The sequence below is a fragment of the Homo sapiens genome, chromosome 2, assembly GCF_000001405.40.
Source record: "Homo sapiens chromosome 2, GRCh38.p14 Primary Assembly".
Lineage (NCBI taxonomy): Eukaryota > Metazoa > Chordata > Mammalia > Primates > Hominidae > Homo > Homo sapiens.
Window position 1 is genome coordinate 142,969,765 of NC_000002.12, and position 21,546 is coordinate 142,991,310.

At 36.0% G+C, this 21,546-nt stretch overlaps 1 protein-coding gene across 8 annotated transcripts in view; it reads left to right on the plus strand.

Moving 5' to 3' along the window:
* KYNU (kynureninase) overlaps positions 1-21,546 on the plus strand; it is a 178,170-nt gene that overhangs the window by 92,101 nt on the left and 64,523 nt on the right. For 3 of the 8 annotated variants that reach the window (XM_047446252.1, XM_047446251.1, XM_017005217.2), the window contains 3 exons: positions 15,320-15,418; positions 16,184-16,257; positions 19,081-19,773. In XM_047446252.1, coding sequence (XP_047302208.1) covers positions 15,320-15,418; positions 16,184-16,257; positions 19,081-19,102 — 195 coding nt within the window. In that variant the 3' untranslated portion in view covers positions 19,103-19,773. Of the gene's footprint in view, positions 1-15,319; positions 15,419-16,183; positions 16,262-19,080; positions 20,302-21,546 lie in introns of those variants that run through there. The other 5 variants (NM_001199241.2, NM_003937.3, XM_047446250.1 and 2 more) reach the window with 3 other exon arrangements.

Genomic DNA, 21,546 nt, shown 5'->3' on the forward strand with positions numbered 1-21,546 from the left:
GAATTAGCCTCATTCATTGGCATAACAGCTAAACCTAGGGCCTCCCGAAGGAAGTGTTACACTTAAGTTTTTTGTAGATGATAGATGTTTCATAAAATACTTAAGTTGCCTAAAGCCCAGAGTATATTCTTGAATATTCCATTTTTCATGCCTCTTGACTAACCAAGGAAGGCAGATTTAAGTCTTTGTTAAACTGAAAAATGAAAGTGTTCCAATGTGAAATGTACACATCAGTTCTAATTTATTCTACCCTCCATAAAAGTGGAAAAGGAAGGCTATGTCTCATGGCAATAAAAATGGAATTCCAAAAGATCTTTGGGCAGAAAAAAAATTCCCAATAAAATATGAGAGATTTCTTCCACACCATTCTCTGAAATTCACTTCTTTCATCAGTTAAATTATTTATACAAACAAGATTAGGGATGTCAACATGAAAGGTTAGTCGATTTGAAGAGAAAATATTTTCGCAGCAGATAATCTATCTTATGGAGGAGGGTGGTGAGCAAAGAAGATAATCATCATATTGTCTATAAAACCTGGCATCAAAGGAAGCAATTTAGAAGCAGTGTCTTCGAGAATTGTCCCATAGTGTCTATGCAATATTATCAAATTCAGTATGTAAATAAATATTTTAAAATAAAGTAAATTTGGTTGAGGAATAGGCCATTCATGTTGACACAGTAATCAGCAGAAAAATACCTTATGGGAGACTGTTCCTTTATTTTATATCTAAATGGGGCTATCTCCAGATATAACTGTCACTAGTACGTGATGGATAAATTAAATACTTGCTTCAAATCCACTTTATAATAAGACTAGTAGGTAAATTGATGAATAAAGGTTAAAAGTCACCATGTGTCTGAAAAGTCAGTTGGACTTTGTTGGGACAGTTGTGATTGGCACCATGTTTTGCCTACTTGAATTTCCTGCATCGTGTTTCTCCCACAGGATGACCATTGTTCCTTTACTGATTGTGGAATAGAATGCAAATAACTTCAGCTCTTTATGATTTTGCATATGCTGAATTATCAGTATCATATTTTCCACTGTTCTCCTTCACATAACATATATCAGCTAAGCCAAAAGTTGTATATATTCCCTGTCTCAATGTCCTACTTTGTGCCTCCTTGTCTTCCTTTTTAGCTTTCCCTCCACCTACATATTCCCACAAGTGAAGATTCTCCTTTCCTCTATTCCCAGTCAACCATTACTTGCTTCACAGGTTACAACTTGTCCTAGAGGTTTGCTTTGTGTAGGCCCTCATTGTATTAGCAAACATGGTGTATTTTTAAAATGTAGTCATATGCCAACAATAGGAAATCATGAGATTTCATATAAAGACTCCTGGTTTCAAATATCTTCCAAAAAATTAGAAGTTTGACAACAATGGACCTTCATTCCTATAGGTGGCAACACTGGGTAGCAGCTCTGTCCCTTAGATGGGGCTTAAGCTCTTCGACACAACATCCATGTTTACCCACTGAGCCCACCATTGAAGCCAAGTCATCGCTGGTGAATATATCTATATGAATACCACAACATTATGTGTGTGTGTGTGTGTGTGTGTGTATTCATGCTTATGATATTCTTACAATGAAGTGTAAAATAAAGTATTTCTTGCAGGCCCAACTCGTACATTGCTTGACTGACTCTTGTAGAAACCTGCAAATGAAATCCTTGACTTTTATTGGCAACATTTTCTCACTTTTCTGTATCAGGATATATCTGTCTTCCTGCTATACTTCCACACCATGATGAAAAATGTATCATTGGCCACCGTTTGCACTGTCTTATAATTACTTCTATGCCTATTTTAACTCTCAAATTTAGGAAGCTATGTCAGTAGAGTGTTCAATGACTGATTGAGGGTAGACCTTGCAAATTTCACAGATTCATGTGCTTTGCACATAGTCTTTCATCATTAAATACATACCTGCTAGACAAGTGAATGTATAAATGTGTGTACATCAGCAGTCAAGTGGACCAGGTTGATTTGATGGAACAGTACTGCATAAAAAGCACAACTGTATTCCTGCTTAAAAAGAATCAGAAGCTTCTACAGAATAACTTATAATGGTTAATTAGTCTAAAAAATCAAGATGCTTTTTGTAAGTTTTGAGTTCTTTTTCAAATTCCACTTCTATTCTTTGACACACTTAGGACGTGCAGACTGCTCCGTTAAGTCATTAAATATTAAATGAACTAAATTAAGCTTGAAAAACTACCTTAAGCTATTTTTCCCATCTTGAGTCTCAGAAATAAATCAAACAAACTACATTTTGTGTGAGGTCCTTGCTAGCCAGAGAAAGACTGTAGAAGAGAACAGCATGACTGAATTTATTTAATTTTTCTTGGTTTTCATACTTACTTTTGACAGTAAGTAAAGACAATTATTTTTTTCTGGTAAAAAGAAACAGCTGAAATTTGCTCTTTCAAGCATATACTTTATTTAAAGTGGCGTGATTATTGTACCTGCAAATTATACAATGGTTTAGGGGCTCAGGATTGGTTTGCTTTTCCTTTCTTCCAAACCCTTTACTCTTATCCATCCAGCTGTCAGTTCTCTCTAATACCTTCTCAATTCACACCTTTCCCTTAAATTTCATTAGCAAAATGCTCATTTTCTTCCCTCCTCTTATCTCTCATCTCTGGATTTGACAATCTTGCCAATGTCTACTTTAAGCAAGCAGAGATGAAACAGTGAATCTAGTCTCTGAAATAATGCTTCGTAAAAATGTGAATGATAATAGCTACAGTTGATGGCCTACTGTGTTTCTGGTACTTGACATGTATTTCCAATTTTCCTAGCAACCCTAACAGTAAGTTTTCACCACTGCTCATTTGAGGAGAGTGAATCTGAGAGAGTTTAAGCACTTCCTCAAGGCAATTTAGCTGGCAAGTAAAGGCTAGAATTTGTGTCTAGCTATAGCTGATACCAAAGCTCTCTTTCCACAGTATTGTCTTGTCTATATATATATATGAATTTGCCATTTATAGTCAATTATGTAGACTACAGAGACAGAGGCCATATATATATATATATATATATAGAGAGAGAGAGAGAGAGAGAGAGAGACTGACTACAGAGATGAGGTCTCTCTCTACATATATATGTATGAATTTGCCATACATAGCCAATTATGTAGACTATAGAGACAGAGGTCTCAGATTACCAAGAAAAGAAAGGACCAAGAAAAAGATTGTATCTTTGATGTTTGTAATGCTGACACCAATTTGCCATTACATGATTAGTGTATATATATACACACACACACACACAAATCATATATACATCTAATATATATTTATATATAAACTAATCTCATATATACACATTATATATATTTTGTATGTATATATAAACTAATCATATAATGGCAAATTGGTGTCAGCATTTAGAAACATCAAAGAAAAAATATATAATCTTTTTCTTGGTCCTTTATTTTCTTGGTAATCTGAGACCTCTGTCTCTGTAGTCTACGTAATTGTCTCTCTTGAGAATATTGAAAACTCACAAGTTTTACTTTGCTCCTAAATGTCAAGAAGGCATAGCCTAAATGTCAATAAGCATCAAAAGTCTTTCTGAATGAGATAGTGCCAGCATTCATCACTGTTCCTTCTCAGAACCTCAAGCCTACTCTTTCCAATTACCCTCATATAGGGAAGCCCCAATACACTGGCCCCTCCATACCCCTTTTATCTCCTTCTGGCAGGTCTCTTAGGCAGTTGCTCCATTGGCAACAGCTCCCAGCAATGATGGCTGCATTACTACTCCCATCCTCATACCTTCAGTGACCTTTGGGGTGTTTGCAGCAGCTTTCCCTCTAATTAAGAGCTTGCAAGCCTCCGTGTGCTTGGGAAACACAGCTGCAAACCACTGGAGAGAATTCCAGCAGGAAGTACTCATCCCTCGCTCCCATTGTCTAATACCAGCTGAGGTGTACATTACACTCAAGAAATTTTATTCTTTCAGATGTATAATGACCTCTCATTTTACGTCAGGCTCTGGGTTTAAAAAGAGACAGACAGAAAATAGAGAATAAAAGAAAAAAATCCCACCATCTCTGTCTTTAAAGAGATCAGAATCAGATGTGACATAGAAATATGTAAAGAGAATATTGCTTTAGACTGTGTTAAGTGCTTGACAACGGGAGACAATAGATTCACTAAGGTGTCTTAGAAAAAACACCCTCGACATGTTCTAACACCACCCAAAGTATACTTATGTATGCTCCAATTCGTTTAGCTTTAAAGTTGCCCAAAACCACAAACTGAATAACCTCAAGGAGAGCATTCAGATAGTTCAGAGCATTCATTCCCATAGTCAACCAAAAAGTATCTGAGACAAGTCTCACTCAGTTTAGAAGTCTATTATTCCAAGGATAAGTACATGCCCAGAAGAAATAAAAACGGAATCACAGAAACTGTGGTCTGTGCCTTTCTACAAAGATAATTTTGAGGGCCTCAGTAAAGGGAAAAGTGGGCTGGAGGGGAAAGAGGAAGGGTATGGTAACCCACATGGTGCAAGAGAGAAGGAGCAGGTAAGGGAATAATCAATTATGTATTCCTCTCATGCTCAGTAAATCAGCACTTTACATAAAATAAGGTGAACGTAGAGTAGGATTTAACCTTTTATCTGTAGCTATCTGCTTAAGAAAAACAGGAAAGGCAGCTTCTAGTATGACTCAGCTTTCAGCTTTTTCCTTTTGGCCTAGTAAATTGAGGTCCCAGTTTTTATTTTCCTTTCACACCACTGAAGTTGAGAAGCTGTCATTTCCCCCTGCCATCTATTTGCATAACTAGAGGGCATAACAATGGTGCCAGATTCTTTGCCAGTTTCCCCCAAGGAGTAACTGACTAGCTATGTAAATCACATTGCTGGAAGCCTTCTGGAACTTAAACAAAGAGTAACTTGAGTTACATATTAATTTTAAAAAATGTAAAGGCTCTCCTTCTTGTGAAATAAACATAGCTCAAGAAGGCCTATACAAATTGTGATAGCTTGGCCATCTTCAGCATCTTCACCATCGCTGTTCAGGAATCCAGGGTTTTTATTGAAAGACAAGCATCAGCTTGCTTCTGTCCAGCCTCTTCTCTCCAACTACCCATTCTGTGACTCTTTTCCCACAGGACATTCCCTTCATATTTTCCTTTAGAGTAGCAATAGTTATAAGCTACTACACTTTTTTAAAATATTAGGGTATGGCTTGAAATCAGTGGGTAATAAAATTCTAATGATAAAGTCAGGAGCCACGGAAATACTGGTAGAAGAGGCACTTCCCCAGCAGAGGCCTCACCCTCAAGCCTGGAGACCATGGCCCTAAATGAGAACAGTTATCCCTGTTTTCCTGCCTAAATGTTGTTTTTTCCAAAACCACCCTGGCTCACCATGACTGCTCCCCCCACCAAATCCTGTACCCATAAAAACCCCAAACTCCTCTGGCAGAGGAGCAGAGTGGCATGGCAGAAAAGGAGAGAAGAAGCATCTGAACATCAAAGAGGCAGCTGGACAGTCAGAGAGGATTTCAGCTGGGACAGCCAAGCTCCAGGGGAAAATTAGCTACCTACTCCATCCCCTTTCCAGTTCCTCATCCCACTGAGATCCCACCTCCATCACTCAATTCACCATCCTTTAAGTCCCTGTGACCTCATTCTTCCTGTATGCCAGACAAGGACCTCCTAGGTGCCAAGAGGGCAAGTTGTAAAAGACTGTCACCTGACTCCACACTGAGCTTGTTAACATTTGGCCATCCATGGAAGGCAACTGCTGAAAGAGCACTAATTGTAACATACCCCTAGATGCTACCATGGGTCTGGAGCCCAAAAGCATTCACCCTGGCCCCAGCACACACTCGCCTGCATGCTCCCCCTCCCACAAGCAGCTGAGTAAGTGAAGCACACCCAGGTCGCAAATCCTCTGAAGGGGTCCAGGGAGCTCTCCCATCTCCCTAATTCTGTGTTAGCCTAATTTGCACAAGTTGATAAATAAATGAATATATCTTGATGAATTCATTTCACTGTTTAGCTTATCCTTGGATCCATACCAGAGTTTTTAAATCACTACGTAAACATGTTTACTCTAATTTCATTCTGATTCCAAGTTAAAGATACTCATTTTTAATTCAATGAGTTCCTTGATTGTTGTGCACACTTTTCTCATGATACCCATTTTTTGATTCAGAACACTCCCTTATTGGATTTCTTATCTTCAAAATTAATGTCACAGGTGCGACTAGCTGGGGCTCGTCATGGGTGGTAAAGGAATTTACCACGACAGTCATAGGTGAAGAAAGGCAGATTTATTAGAGAAGGTATGAAGATACCTTGCAAGAAAGCAATGGGCATTACAACAGAGAAGAGGCTGTCTGCAGAGAGGCAAGGGGTGGAGGGAAGTTTTATGGGGTTGTGCTGGAGGGGGCCACATGCTGACCGAAGCCATGCTGCTGGGGCTATGTGTGGAAGGAGGTCACTGTGTCCACAGGTTACTTGTGATTAACATTTCTCAGAACAATTATTCATTATTCTTCCCCACCTGGGGCCCTTTCTTTGTTGTTGCTTACTTATCAAGGCTCCACATTTAACCTTTCTGGAATCTCCCAAGTATATTCATGGCATCCAGTTCTCTAGCATTAGCCCACCTGAGTGGCATGGAGAAGTGTTGTCTCTACCAGGGCCTGTTGTCTCCTCTGTTTGTATATATTGACACAAATACAGTCATTCAGTAGCTCTAGGACAACGGGGTTTTTCCAAGTTATTTGTTGTGTAAAGGTTTTTTGTAATGATCGCCTTCTCTATGCACTTACATTTTAAAATATTTGGTAAAAGATATATTTGAAATCTATCATTAGGTAAATTACCTTAATTTTAGGTAATTTATCAGAAGGTTGTGAACTCAAAAGTATCTGAGACAGGTCCCAGTCAATTTAGAAAGTTTATCTTGCCAAGGTTAAGAACATACCCATGACACAGCCTCAGGAGCTCCTGATGACATGTGCCCAAGGTGGTCAGGGTACAGCTTGCTTTTATACATTTTAGGGAGACATAATACATCAGTAAATACATACCAGATTTACATTGGTTTAATCTGGAAGGGAAAGACAACTCGAAGCTGAAAGCCTGGGGAGGAGAGGGCTGGGCTTCCAGGTCATAGGTAGATTTGAAAATATTTTTGGTAACTGGTTGAAAGAGTTATTATCAATAGAAAGGAATGGCTGGGTTCCAGTAAGGGGCTGTGGACACCAAGGTTTTATCACGCAGATGAAGCCTCCAAGTAGCAGGCTTCAGAGGGAATAGAATGTAAATATTTCTTATCAGACTTATGGTCTGTGTTGATGTTAATGTTGGAAAGCATAATGAAGTATGTCCATCCCCTCTTCCATCATGGCTTGAACTAGCTTCTCAGGTTAACTCTGGAATGCCCTTGGCCAAGAGGAGGGGTCCATTCAGATGGGGCCTTAGAATTTTAGCTGTGGTTTACAAAATTGAGGCTCAAATATTTTCTACCATCTGAATTTTTCTCGTTTCTGTTCCTGTTTGGTGCTCAACTAAAATGTGAGCATTTAGAATTGATTTTCAGGTGGCTAGCTTCCTGGATGGAATTTTGTGTGGATATATATATATATGAATAATCATATTCATTTTTTGATATCTTATATTAACTATAAGAGCCATAGGATTAAAATAAGTTGGAACAGTATTCTGGTTTTGTCCTGCAGAAAACGTAAGCTTTGGTTCTGGTTGCCGTGTGACATGATTTCTACTAAATTTCACTGAAGCTCCACTTGAAGATTGTGTCTTTTTCCTTTTTATTTGTGTTGATTTTCATTTTCTATTGTTTCATGTTTTAATAGTGAGGAGTTGCTATTCTCATTGAACTATACTATACTGATATAAATAAATGAAGCTTAATACATTGCATAAAATAGTAGATAGCTATATTAAATAATTTTTGGAAAGGAATTGTGACCTGTAGAACTTACTGACTTTAAGTACAGCATGAACATAATATGCAAATAATGCTTAGTTCCTACTCATAACCAGAGAGTTGGGAGGAAAGGAAAAATAAAGAGTGAGAAGGATTTTTGAAGGCCGTGGCAAATTTAGTCTGCATGAAAAGCAGAACTTTCAGAATAGAAATTCACTCTGAAAAGAGGCATTTACAGAGATAGTGGAGGCCCCTCTTATAGAAATATTTACTGTTGTTTTTAACTTAGCACCTAAGTATGCTTTTGAATCATAACACTTGAATGAGTTCTGGAAAGTTAAATGCTCCAAGACTGTGGCAAAAAAACCTACCAGCTTTCATCTTCCTCCTTTCCATTCCCAACTTTCTCTAGTACTATTCAAAAACTCCCTAATTAGGAATTCCTTTGGGAAATTCCAATATCAGAGTTAACTAGCCAACCTATTATTGCTAATCATTTATTCCTACCCTCTATATAAAGATGACCAGCATGTGTGCACACACACACACCCAGACACACATCTCCCTATACCGTTTTCTTTTTTTCGTTCATTTTCTTTAAATTTCCCATTATACTTTTTAAAAAGTAATATTGTCCAAATTTATAGCACTGTAGTTCTTGGATTGTTTCTTATTACTTTTGCATCAAGCAAGAAATGATATTCAGAACACTTAAAGTTCTGATTGGTATGGTATAGAAGCTGCATTTCCCACAGTCACAAAGAAGGTCATACTCCATGTTAATACCAGGTAGTATCCATCATTAGCCTATTAGAAGGTACTGATAGTCACCTGGAATTCACCTACCATAATGATAGTGGCACTGGCAAAGGCATTGTCTCATCCACTGGAGTCTGGGCCAGTCCCTAGCAGTGAACATTCACAGGCTGATATTCGCAGACACCTCTCATGAACTCAAGGGCTGCAACCATGGTTGGTTAGTCAGGTGGCTTAGGACAAAGACTTTTTATGTACCTTAACTATTTTATTATTTTAATAATTAATAAGAGCGTATCAATGCATACCATCTATATATCAGCCCCGGGTATAGTGACAAATATCTTATCTTGTATAAGTACTATTTTTCATACCAAATTTGCTAATTATTAAGAGTCTTCACAGTTCACAGGATTTAATCTTGGTGAAAAAGGAATAAACTAAATAATAACAATAATAATAGTCCAAAATCAATTTGATACCAAATCAATCAATAAAGTGATCAGAGCTTTAATGCTACTAGGAAAATACTTCAGCTTTACCATTTTATGTTTCATTTCAATAGGCAATTAATCAAAGTTAGGAAAGAGTGAGCTAGCTTTTCTCCTGGAAATTTCAGCACAGGCCCTATGTATCATATTATTTCACTAATTAGAAAAAATTTTAGTTTTGTGTTAGTGAAGATGGCAAAGACAAAACACACACGATATTTCTTGTTAATTGAGAATGATTTTGAACATATTCTCAACTACTATTTTGCCCAAGATACTTCATTCTAAAAGATGTCATTTCTGAATAAAGAGCACATGCAATAAAATTGCATCAGAAACAGAATCCCTCACATAATATTCTTACAAATTTAACATCACTTTAGAGAATAGCTATTGACTTTTGTAAGACTTTATTATTTGTTCATTCATTTATTTTTTTATTCAACAATTATTTGGGTTCATACTGTGTGAGAGAAGACAGTAAGATTAGAAAATTGTTACAAGAGAGATATACAAACAGGGCAGTAGAATAAGAGAGAAGAGAAAGATGGTTAAAGAATCTTCACTCAAAGTTATCTGGTGATCAAAATCTGAGCTTGCTAGGCAAATGGAGGAGAGAAAGCACATCCCCAGGAAAGGGAAAAGTTTATGTAAATAGAGAGAAGTCTATATGGGGTATCTGAACAAGGGGCACTAACAGATCATACAGATCTTTAGTCATACCCAGGAGGGCTGGGTATGGTGGTTTATACCTGCAATACCAGCACGCTGGGAGGCCGAGGCATAAGGATGGCTTGAGCCCAGGAGTTCAAGACCAGCCTGAGCAACGTAGTGAGAACTCATCTACAAAAACTTAAAAAATAAAAAATAAATAGCTATGTCACCAGAAAAGGGCTCCCAATCCAAGAGACCCCAAGAGAGGGTTCTTGGATCTCTCACAAGAAAGGATTCAAGGTGAGTCCATAAAGTAAAGTGAAAGCAAGTTTATTAAGAAAGTAAAAGAATAAAAGAATGTCTACTCCATAGGCAGAGCAGCCCCGAGGACTGCTGGTTGCCCATTTTTATGGTTATTATATTTCTTGTTATATACTAAACAAGGTGTGGATTATTCATGATTTTTCTGGGACGGGGTTGGGCAATTCCCAGAACCGAGGGTTCCTCCCCTTTTTAGACCATATAGGGTAACTTCCTGATGTTTTCATGGCATTTGTAAACTGTCCTAGCACTGGTGGGAGTGTCTTTTAGCATGCTAATGTATTAGCTTATAATTAGCTTATAATGCTAATAATTAGCTTATAATGAGCTTATAATGCTAATAATTAGCTTATAATGAGCAGTGAGGATGACCAGAGGTCACTCTTGTCATCATCTTGGTTTTGGTGGGATTTGGCCAGCTTTACTCAACCAGTTTTATCAGCAAGGTCTTTATGACCTGTATCTTGTGCTGACCTCCTATCTCATCCTGTGACTTAGAATGCCTAACTTACTAGGAATGCAGCCCAGCAGGTCTCAGCCTTATTTTACCCAGGCCCTACTCAAGATGGAGTTGCTCTGATTCAAACACCTCTGATAACCATACCAAGGACTATGAGTTGCATTCTGAAATTAATGGGGGCTCTGTGAACAAAGGCAGTGAGTCTTATAATCAAATGTATGATTTATAATGTTTCTGGGAGGAAGGCAGGCTGGAAATAATCAGAATGGCCTGAAAATGATTGCAAGTTTTGGATTGACTATAAAGTAAGGTGGCATGGTGGCTGAACAATGCTGTGCTGGTTGTGTCAATATGAGTGTGAGCTGTGTCAGTATGAGTGTGATTGTATCAACATGAGTGTGAGCACCTGTGGGTAATTTTAAATAAAATGTGTTGAAAAATACTTGATTTTTATTGAAAAATTGCATAAAGTAGCTACTCAAGTATAGAGTGTTTGCTTTCACATATGCATATCATGTTACCTACATGAGGCAAAACAATGAAAATAACTGGATGGCTGTAGAAAGGTTTTGGAGAACCATTAGATTTTTTTAATGTTTAAGATGCTGCCATCTAGTGACACTTTTGTGAAATCACTTTGCAGTGATATTCATGTTTGTATCTTCCAGTTCTTTTCTCAATACATTTTATATTTTAATAATTTATATTGTCTACCAACCAATGGGGAAATAATTACAAATGCATTAAACATAGTGTAGAAGTCATACTTGATTTTTCAACGTGGTACCACAAATGTGGCCAGAAGGATTTTCATAATGGGATATTGTACATAAAGGTTTGTGGTTTCTTCAGTGTGCCATTCTTTATAAGTAATTGATAATGAAAGTGCTGCTTTTTCTATTTCTTGAGTTTTCTTAGAAAAATTGAGTTGTAAAAACAAATCTGTGAAAATCTGAGCTGTAAAAATTGCTTCATAAAAGTTGCTTTAATTGGAAATGTTGAAGAGAAGAAAAGAGAGTTTCAAATTTAGAATAATTAACTTTTTTCCCCATATGGAATTTCAGTATTATAAGTATATCTTAAAATATAAACAAATAAATGTGTGTGGAGGGGTGTGTGTGTGTCTGTTAAAGCTAAACATTAGTCTCCAAACCTAGGTTGTGATGACCTGATGACTTCTAAGTTTTGATGAAGATTAATTATATTCATGTCCTATTACTCCTTAAACTTATATTACAATGGAGCACTTGTCTTATTTTCATGGTACGTATTGCTCATTTTCTTTGGTGAGGAACAAAGAATAAATTAATCTCCCTTCCTCCCTCAAAATACAGTTATATTGTGCTGATATATTGTCCTTTTGTGAGATACTAACTCCAGTCATACTATAGTGAATGAGGTTTTAATTAATTAACTTTTCAGTATATTGAGGTTTCTTTATGCAAACCAATCCTATAGGGTAGAGGTAAGCACATCTTTCCGTAAAGAACCAAGTAGCAAATATTTTAGGCTTTGTGGGCCATATGGTCCCTGTTGCAACAACTCATTTCTGCTGCTGTAGCGTAAAAGCAGCCATGGACAATATTTAAACAAATGAGACTGGCCGTGATCCAAAATTAAATTTACAGAAACAGACTATAGTTTGCATGTCTCTTCTCTAGGGAAAACACCTGTATTTGTAATTTGGGGTTCTTTTTTTCTTAGGAAGTGTTAGAACACTTCTAAAATTTATTTAAGTATTTACTTCAAAAACTTTAATTCCATTGAGAGTTGTGTGCCTTCAGTGTTCCAAAAAATCTAGTTTGGAGCAGGTATGTGCACTTGGTAAACTAATCGTACACATAGTAAACTACACTTGGTAAACCAGTCATACACAAACCCAGAGGTAAAATGTTTTGCAAAGTTCTATCACCTGCATTTAGCCAGTTTTTAAATTCATGTTCATGTACAAAGTTGTCTTAATGTGGAATGAATCTTTATATTTTCTCAGTAAACATTGCAACATTTTGATATGCAGTAAGTTAAATGACTTTGATCATCAGCAAATAAATTAGAAACTTCCTACTTGGGTACAATTTGGATAATATGTATTCATTGTTCCAGTTTGTGCTTCTGGGAATTTAGTGGAAACAGAGACTTGCTTTTTTAACATTGTGAATTCCACTAGGCAGACACACAAAACACTTAAAACCTCATGACAAGTAAATAACTAAAACAGAATGGAGTCAGATCAGAAGAGACTCTTAGGGTACAAAGTCAATGTGTATGAAGGAGACAGTAGAGTTAATATTAAACTTTGAAATTCTCTCCCAAACAACTTCATTCTTCCTCTTTATTTTTGGATAAGAATACTTTTTAAAAATTAAGCACCATATAAAACAGCTGGCTCACATTGAGGATCTGTACTGTATCAAAGTATGCATATTTTGCTTACCAAATAGTATTAAGCAAGGATTGTTACTCTTATTCTAACATGAGAACTAGAAGAACTCACGCAGTAACTGATCCAAGCCTCCATCTTGTGATCCTTTGGTATCTTGTACTCTTTAAGAGGAATGGCAGGGGTAATTCCTAAGACCAAGTAAAGGATGTCTTGGTTTTTGGGAGCTGAGTATATCAATTCACTCTTCCCTTAAAATGCTGTGTAACAAATCATCTTGAAACTTGTTGTCTTAAAACAATAACCATTGATTTTATGGATCACCTTGGCATCAGAGCATCAAGGTAGGACTTGGCTGGAGGGGTTCTGCAAGTCTCAGCTGAGCTCATTCATGTTTCTGTGGCAAACTGCAAGGGGTGAGGAGGGCATGGAGGAGCAGCTGATCCAGATTGAGTTCAGGTGAGGATGATTATGCTCCACATTTCTTTTATCTTCCATCTGGGCCAGCAGTTTGGCCCAAGCAAGTCCTTCTCATAGAGATGGCAGAGAGCAAGAGGGAGCAAGCTTAGTCACTCAAGTACTTTTCTGAGACTATTTTTATTACATGTGCTAACATTCTGTTGGTCTAAACAAGTCACATGGCTGATCCCAGTGGCTGAAACTTACACCTTACCCACAGTGGAGGAACTAGAACTTACATGGCAAATAACATGGGCGCAAGAGAGGGCAGAGAAGCAGAACCATTGATAGAATTTATAACAGTGTATATACTTGAACTGATTAAATATGCACATGATGTGGGATTAAATGCTAAACAAGAAAACTATTGACTCTTTCATATTACTAGGATACACTTAAGCAGCAGTTCAGAAACTTTTTAGAAAAGGAAACCTTTTACACTCTTAAAAACCACTGAGGGTCTTAGGAGATTTGACATTGGCTCTATATCTGTATTTACTGTATTTGCAATTAAAACAAAATTTTAAAATGTATTTATTTGTTTTAGAATAACAACAAATGCATTACATATTAACATAAGCAAAATATTGTTATACAAACTATGTTTTCTTTAAAAAACAGTAGCATTGTTTATATATGGCAAATCGTATTAGCACCTGACTTAATAAAAGACAGCTGGTTTTTTATACCTGCATTCAATCTCTTTTTTTCTCTTTTTGAATCTTACAAAGAAAATAGGCACTCATGAAGATATGTAATCAGAAAAGGCAGGAGTAGTTGAATAGCCTTTCCGTCAATTTTGTGTATTCTTTGATACTGCATCAGAATTTGACAAGTGAGAACTTTTTAGGAGTTCTGGTATGGAATTTGAAGCTGAATCACTGAACTTTCTGTACTTTATTATATTAAAATTCATTGACTGAACTTGCATTTTGAATAGATCCTTTATCAATGCACAATATGTAACATCGAGCATTGGCCATTCAGAAAATATTGGTTCATTGAATTATGTGTATTTTCCAAATATTGACATATTTAATCATATAATAATTAGAAATTATGTATTACTACTATATTCATCAGAATTATCTCAATAATGGGAGCTAGTCATACTCATGGAAGTGGATACAAGTTTTTCAATATTCTAATTTCCCCTGGAAACTCTAATTTTATCATTGGCAGCAAATATTATAAGTTGTTTTATTGAAGTGACACTCCATTTTCAAAAGAATATCTGTTAAATACATCACACATGTGAATCGTCATTGTTTGTCAGTTGCTCTTTCATGCAGAAATGGTTGTCCATGATATAAAAGTGGCAGGTTCAGCTTGCCACTCAAATAATTGCATAAATACATTGCTTTAAGATAGCCATCCTACATCAGAATGTGGTCAAGGGTTTTATGTGTACTTCCCACACTCAACATTAAAAATATAGAATTAAGATATTGAGATTTAATGAAAATTGATCATTTTTACAGTTTTCACAAGGATATTTTCACATGAAACTTTCCCATGCCCCCAGGTGAAAGGCTGGAACCAATGTAATGACTACTAGTACAGTTCGGTACCGCTGCCTTGGCTCCTGCTAAGGTGGCAGCTGTTTTACCCATCACTGCTTTTGCATTATCAATGCAAGTGTCAATTCAGCAAAAAAGGCAAAGAATGTCTTAGCATGATGACAATTGCTTTGATCTGGTGGGCCTTCTGAAAGGGTCCTGGGAATTATGGATCATACTTTGTGAACCATTGCATCAAAGAGCAAACCATAATTTATGGTACAGAAGTTTGTCAAATGTTTTCTTAAAAATATTTGTACTTATTATTTCTAATCATGAAGCAAACTTAAAGCTTATTATTGTGTTCTTCCCTAGGGTTGTTATGTTGGCTTTGATCTAGCACATGCAGTTGGAAATGTTGAACTCTACTTACATGACTGGGGAGTTGATTTTGCCTGCTGGTGTTCCTACAAGGTACAAACGAGTTAATACATTTACATCCCTTTATTTCACATTGACTTTAATCTGAAGGAGAAACTGGGTCTGTGGGCCAATTTTAAAGATTTGAGTTACTTTCCCTATTTCTTTTATTGTATTTTCTGCTTTTTGTTAATCGAGTTATATGATGGAATAGTATGATAATTAATATAATTCTAGTATTTCTATCAATATAGAGAAATTAATTCTTCAATTCCTTGGCTGCTATGAAAAAGTCAGGAGGTTCTGTAGAAAAATCCCTACACTTAATTCAAATTGATCATCTTTTTAGTTTTTTTATTGATAAGTTGTGAAATTTCTGCATATATAAAGATAATATTTAGAGAATCAACTTAGAATTCATATTTGAAAACAGTTGACAGGGAGCATGAAAATAAAACCAATTACAATTTACTTGCTTTAAAAATATATTTTTATTATTATTACAATATTTTAGGACAAAATAATTTAAATGTATGAATTTCAAAGCCAGATCTCATTAAAACTGCTTTCTACCAGCTGGAGCAAAATTGCCCCGTAAAAGTAATAGCCATTTATTCTCAACCTAATAATACTATTTTTTATTTGTTTTTCTTTGAGGAAGGTGACCTAAGCTTCTGTTTTATCATAAATACACAAATAATCACACATTTTGAACTGATCAAATGTTGTGGTTTCAATTAAAAAATTCAAATGACTACATTGTTTAGTTTTGTCATATATTTAAGTAAACCCACATAATTTAATTTATTTTCAATCTAGTATTTAAATGCAGGAGCAGGAGGAATTGCTGGTGCCTTCATTCATGAAAAGCATGCCCATACGATTAAACCTGCGTGAGTACCATCTTCAGCTAATTCTTTGGTGATGAACAAATTAATTTGCATTAATAATATGTTAAATTTACATGAGTTCCTTAAGATGCTATCCAATAGGAATTAGGATTGGATTATAATTATTTTCCTACTCTGCTAACAACAATATACTTCATTTGAAATACATGCTTTCCAAAGAATTCAATTGGTTGAACAAGAAATTTAATCAAAAAGGGAAGCTTCAGTGCTAAAAACAAGTCACTGCAATCATGTAAAGCGGATGGTTTAATGCAAAGAGACCACTTGAATATTTTTTTTCAAAAATTAGACTTTAGAAAATTTCAGATTCCTCACGTTGATGAATAAATCAAAGGCAACCAGAGCTGTGCCTAATAGAGCCTTAAATGTGGCATGTTATTATTAAAATTACATCTACCTTTAAAGCTGTAAATGTTACATGATAGCTTGTAGGGAATATCTTCTGTCCTAAAAGACTTTATAATCCATGAAACCCGAAGAAGCTGAACACTGAACAACAGACTGACTACATAAAAAGTAATACTTTTCTGTTTTATAGAACTCTTCATATTTTAGAGCAAGTATAAATGCAAATATAATACACCAACAAACTTACACATTTTTATTTGACTGGGGAATTCATAAGTGTTCCTTTTACTTTTTTCTGGTATGGAAATAAAGAAATAATATGCTGGGAAGAAAAAAAAAAACCCTTTTCATAGTTGTTGTATTGGAGTATGTGTGGTGAGGAGACTGTCTAGACTCCTAATAGATAATGTAATAATGTTTGATTAGTTTTCTGAATTTCCTCAGCCACTGACTGAGTGGTAAAATCTTTACAAGAATTGAAGCTGAATTAGTAATAGGCTTTGGAGCACCTCACATTTCTGAAGTTCTGTGCATATAAATCCTAGGAATTTAAGATGATTTTCTATAGTTTCTTTAATTGTGTCTAAATTTTTTTCAAGGTTTTAAGGTTTTAAACTTAAGACAACATTTGTCTTAAGTTTAAATATCTTTGGACAGATATTTAGTCAACCAGACATCTTACTTGAATATCATTATCAGTACATTAGATTTCCCTCCATGTATGTCCCAACATCTCTGAGAAGATTAAAAAGCAAATATTATAAGAATACCATGTTTTCCACATAGACAGTATGTAAGATATTGCTTGCTTTTGTATGATGACTCACAACCCTGGCCATTTCTCAGTCTCCATTTATTTAAATTGAAATAGAGGATCTCATGTATTATATCAACCCAAAGGGTGAGCCAGTGCCCGGATAGAAGGAGGTGGGGTGGGGGGGAAGAAGTAATATACATAAATTCTAGAGAATGTCAGTGTTCGGAGTTAAGCTTTGACCTCCTAGCACACACAGGTCTTGTACTTGAGATTTCTCTCAGCATGGACAAGGAACAAGGACAAAGGGATTGTATTGTGCTCACATATGCCTCATTTTGTGGAATTTCAAAATCTTCTAGACAATGTTTAAATCTATGTTAAGTCTAAGCTCCCAAGAGAAAGACCATCTAGGCAGACCAGGTTCACAGTTCAGCTTGGTCTTTCAGGGGTCTGTCACCTGGAGAATCTTCTATGATTGTTCAGTATTCTGGTCTCTGAGCTGAGGTAGTACCAGCCCCTACTCATAAGCAGTTATTGTGAGAATAAAATGAGATGATGTATGTAAAACACTAAGTGTATCACTTGAACATTTAATATGGTTTGGATTTGTGTCCCCACCCAAATCTCATGTAGAATTGTAATCCCCAGTGTTGGAGCAGGGGCCTGGTGGGAGGTGATGGGACAATGGGGCCTTTCCCTTTGCTATTCTCATGATGGTGAGTTCTTAATGAAATATAGTTGTTTAAAAGTGTGTAGCACCTTCTCCTTCTCTCTCTTCCTCCTGCTCTGGCCATGAAAGATGTTCCTGCCTCCCCCTTCACCCTCTGCCATGGTTGTAAGTTTCCTGAGGCCTTCCCAGTCATGCTTCCTGCACAGCCTGCAAAACCATGAACAAATTAAACCTCTTTTCTTTATAAATTACCCAGTCTCAGGCAGTTGTTTGTAGCAGTGAGAGAATGGACTAATACAGCATTATATGTGATCAATAGGTATGGGGTTATATGAAAAAAAAAATCCAAAATTTACAATATACAGGAAAAAGATGGGTGACATTCTGTAACACCCTAGCCCAAGTATTGTTTGGTAATTATTTAGTACTGACCCCTAAGTACTTCGTTGACTCACTGAGAATGTGCATAGTAACATGTAGACTTTGCCCAGTGGAGATCATTTCTCTTAAGCAGAAAATATAACCTCAAAGTTTATGGTTTGTGACTTTGTAGGACATTAGTTTGTAACTATCACCAAGTTTATTTTAGCAGACCTTTGATGAGCTGACTGTAGAATATAATCTCCATTCCTTGGAGATATAATCTCTCTTATATGCTATAAGAAAGAATTCTGGCCTTCCTACCATCTTACTGATTCCGCCACTATTTAGTGGGTTGAATGAGATCTTTCATGGCTGTTTATTTTGTGTGTGTATGAGAACCTTGCTTTTAAGTTTTTTGGAAAATTATATGTTATTAGCTGTTGTTGCATTTTAACAATTTAGCCATGGAAATTTATGGGACTTAAATTAGGCTTGACTCATGAAGGCCACGTTAAGGAAAACCTTGGTTGTTTTTCTGTTTATTGTTTTCTCACACTCCTAAGCTTCTTTTTAAGTGATGTCAGTGACTGATCTCAGTGCTGTCAACTTCTAGCCTTGGCTCTCTATTCTGTACCAAGTATCTTATATTGTACTTCATTTGCATTAGGAGATCGGAGTTCTTTAATTAGGAATGGAATGCAACAGATTTGGACAAGTCAAGGACAAGGTATTTTCCAGTCATCACTTCATTGTCCCTGATAGGAAAAGAAATGTTTTGCTGAAACTTAACTTTGTGTCCCTTAGTGTGTTTTACTTTTTTATTCACCTGAAAATCAAATACCACCTGTGAGAAGAGTGATAAACAAAGAAAAGACCCAAAAGCCTACAATATCACGCTGCTCAAATAAGTGTAATTGTTCAGATGTTACGACAATGTTCCATACATAAAATATTGTGAAGATGGGGAGAGGAAGTTTTCTTGTGAATAATATTTATAGTTCCACGGTCAAATCCAATTTAAACTTTGAGTAAACTTTAGAGTCTGTATGACTACTGACTCTATTTGCCAATTAATAATTATATTTCAGTTGTTAGCATTCCACGATTAGCTGGTTTAACTATGTTTAATAAGCCTTCTGTCATCTTACTTTTCTGTTCTCTTAGAGCTTTAGAGAGACCAAAGAGTTTTTCACTGTTAAAGTGTCCAGTATGTAGCCGAGAACCATATGGAGAACATCAAATACAGTGGAACAAATGTAACTGCTATTGATGTCACACTTTGTGAAGTAGTCTTTGTTGCTTAAAAAGGGTGACATCTAGTGGCTAAACATGTTATTTCAAATAAATAATATCGAAATAACATTTCTTCTCATGGTCCACTCATTCACTCTTTAACAAGTATTTTGAAGTATATATGTTTGAATTATGTGTTCTTCTTTTTGACAATTTGACTATATGTTGATAGTGCAATAATTGTGCAGTTTAAGCCTTCAATAAAGAGGTAGAATGTGATGAAAATTGGAAGGAAACCTGAGGGGGCATTCTTAGTGCTTGGTTAAACAGAAAGCTTAACAGTTCATGAAGGCTGGTCTAAGAAAGGAATTATAAGCATGGGTGACCCACCTGGTGTAGAGAGTGTATCCCCAGATATATAACATTGCATTTTAGAAGTCTAATATTTGGTATATAATTTTTGAAATAGTCCTTTATGTGATGTTTCCATTAGCAAACAGCAAATTGCATCTGTACCAAGAGATTTCACTTCCTTTTTTGTTTAAATATGCATTTTGGACATTGTTCAAAACCTATGACCTAAGGCTTTTCCAAGAGCCCTTTGCCCATAAAGAGAATGAATAAATTAGAGGCCAGAGTCAACGCACGGCATTAAGCATCATAACTCAAGCTGTTATTCTCACCTAGAATTTAACCTTTTCCTAGTTCATTATTAACTTAGCTCATTGCAATGTCATATTCTAAACTCTGTCTGTACAATAAATTAGGACTGGTCATGACTTCTTGGATGTTTTTGCCCCACTTCAAGGTAGACTTTAATTCAGTCTACACAGTTAATTATTGCTCTGAAATATGAAGGGAACTACTCTTAATTGTACAAATTTGACAATATGAAATGTTTCACTAAAAACATGCTTAAATAACATTGTAAATTTTGAATGTTTTAAAAAAAGTTACAAATGTTAACCCTCATGGCACACTTTAGAGGACTATTTAACCTTTCAACTTTAGGGGATTCAAAGCTTTGTGAATCCTTTAAAAGGATTCTTCTGTAAGAGCCCATACATTGCGATTTAAGATACCACCTCCCTCTTTTTTTGTTAATAGAGAGTCTACTATGAAAACAGGAGTGGATAATATGAGGTATTACAAATCCATCTATCATTTACTTTTTTATGTGAGCCAGTGAAATCATACATACTGAAAACCTGCTGTTCCTCACTCTTCACGCTGGTGTAGCAAACCTCCACATGTGCCCATTGTATTAGATTCTCCTAAAATGCACATTTCCCTTGGGATACTTTTCTTCTGAGCTTTTTTGAATGGGCAAGAATGGGGCCGACTGACAATTTTGATAAAAATACTTGAATTTTAAATCATGCCAACACATTTCCATAATCAGCTAGAGGTATTTGATTGAAAGTTTTAAACAGTGATGACATTTTAAAGGCCTTATTAAGGGCTTGAATTATCTCCTTTATTGTAAAGAGTAATTTGCTGGTGAAAAAGAACCAGTTGAAAAGGCTGGCTGACTTCAGTGCATGGTTAAGAAATAAGAGTTGTTACTATTTGGCAACAACATTAGAAAAACAATATGCATCAAACAATTCCCAGGAAAGTCCCAGAAAGAATAAAAATAAACATCCAGAAATTTCAGCAAAAAGACTTAAAAAATTATAACTTTATACCATGCTTGTCCCAACTGTACAGTTAACATTGTATGAAGAGATCGTCTTTTGCACATTTGTTCAGGGGAACACTGACTTATATATTTCACTTCCATATGCTTTTCCAGGCAACAGTTGAGAATGCCATAGCCCAAAACTTATCTATAATTTAAATCCTGTTTTAGTTTTCTAATGATGCCTTCTGAATTACTACTTATCAAGTCCCTATCTAG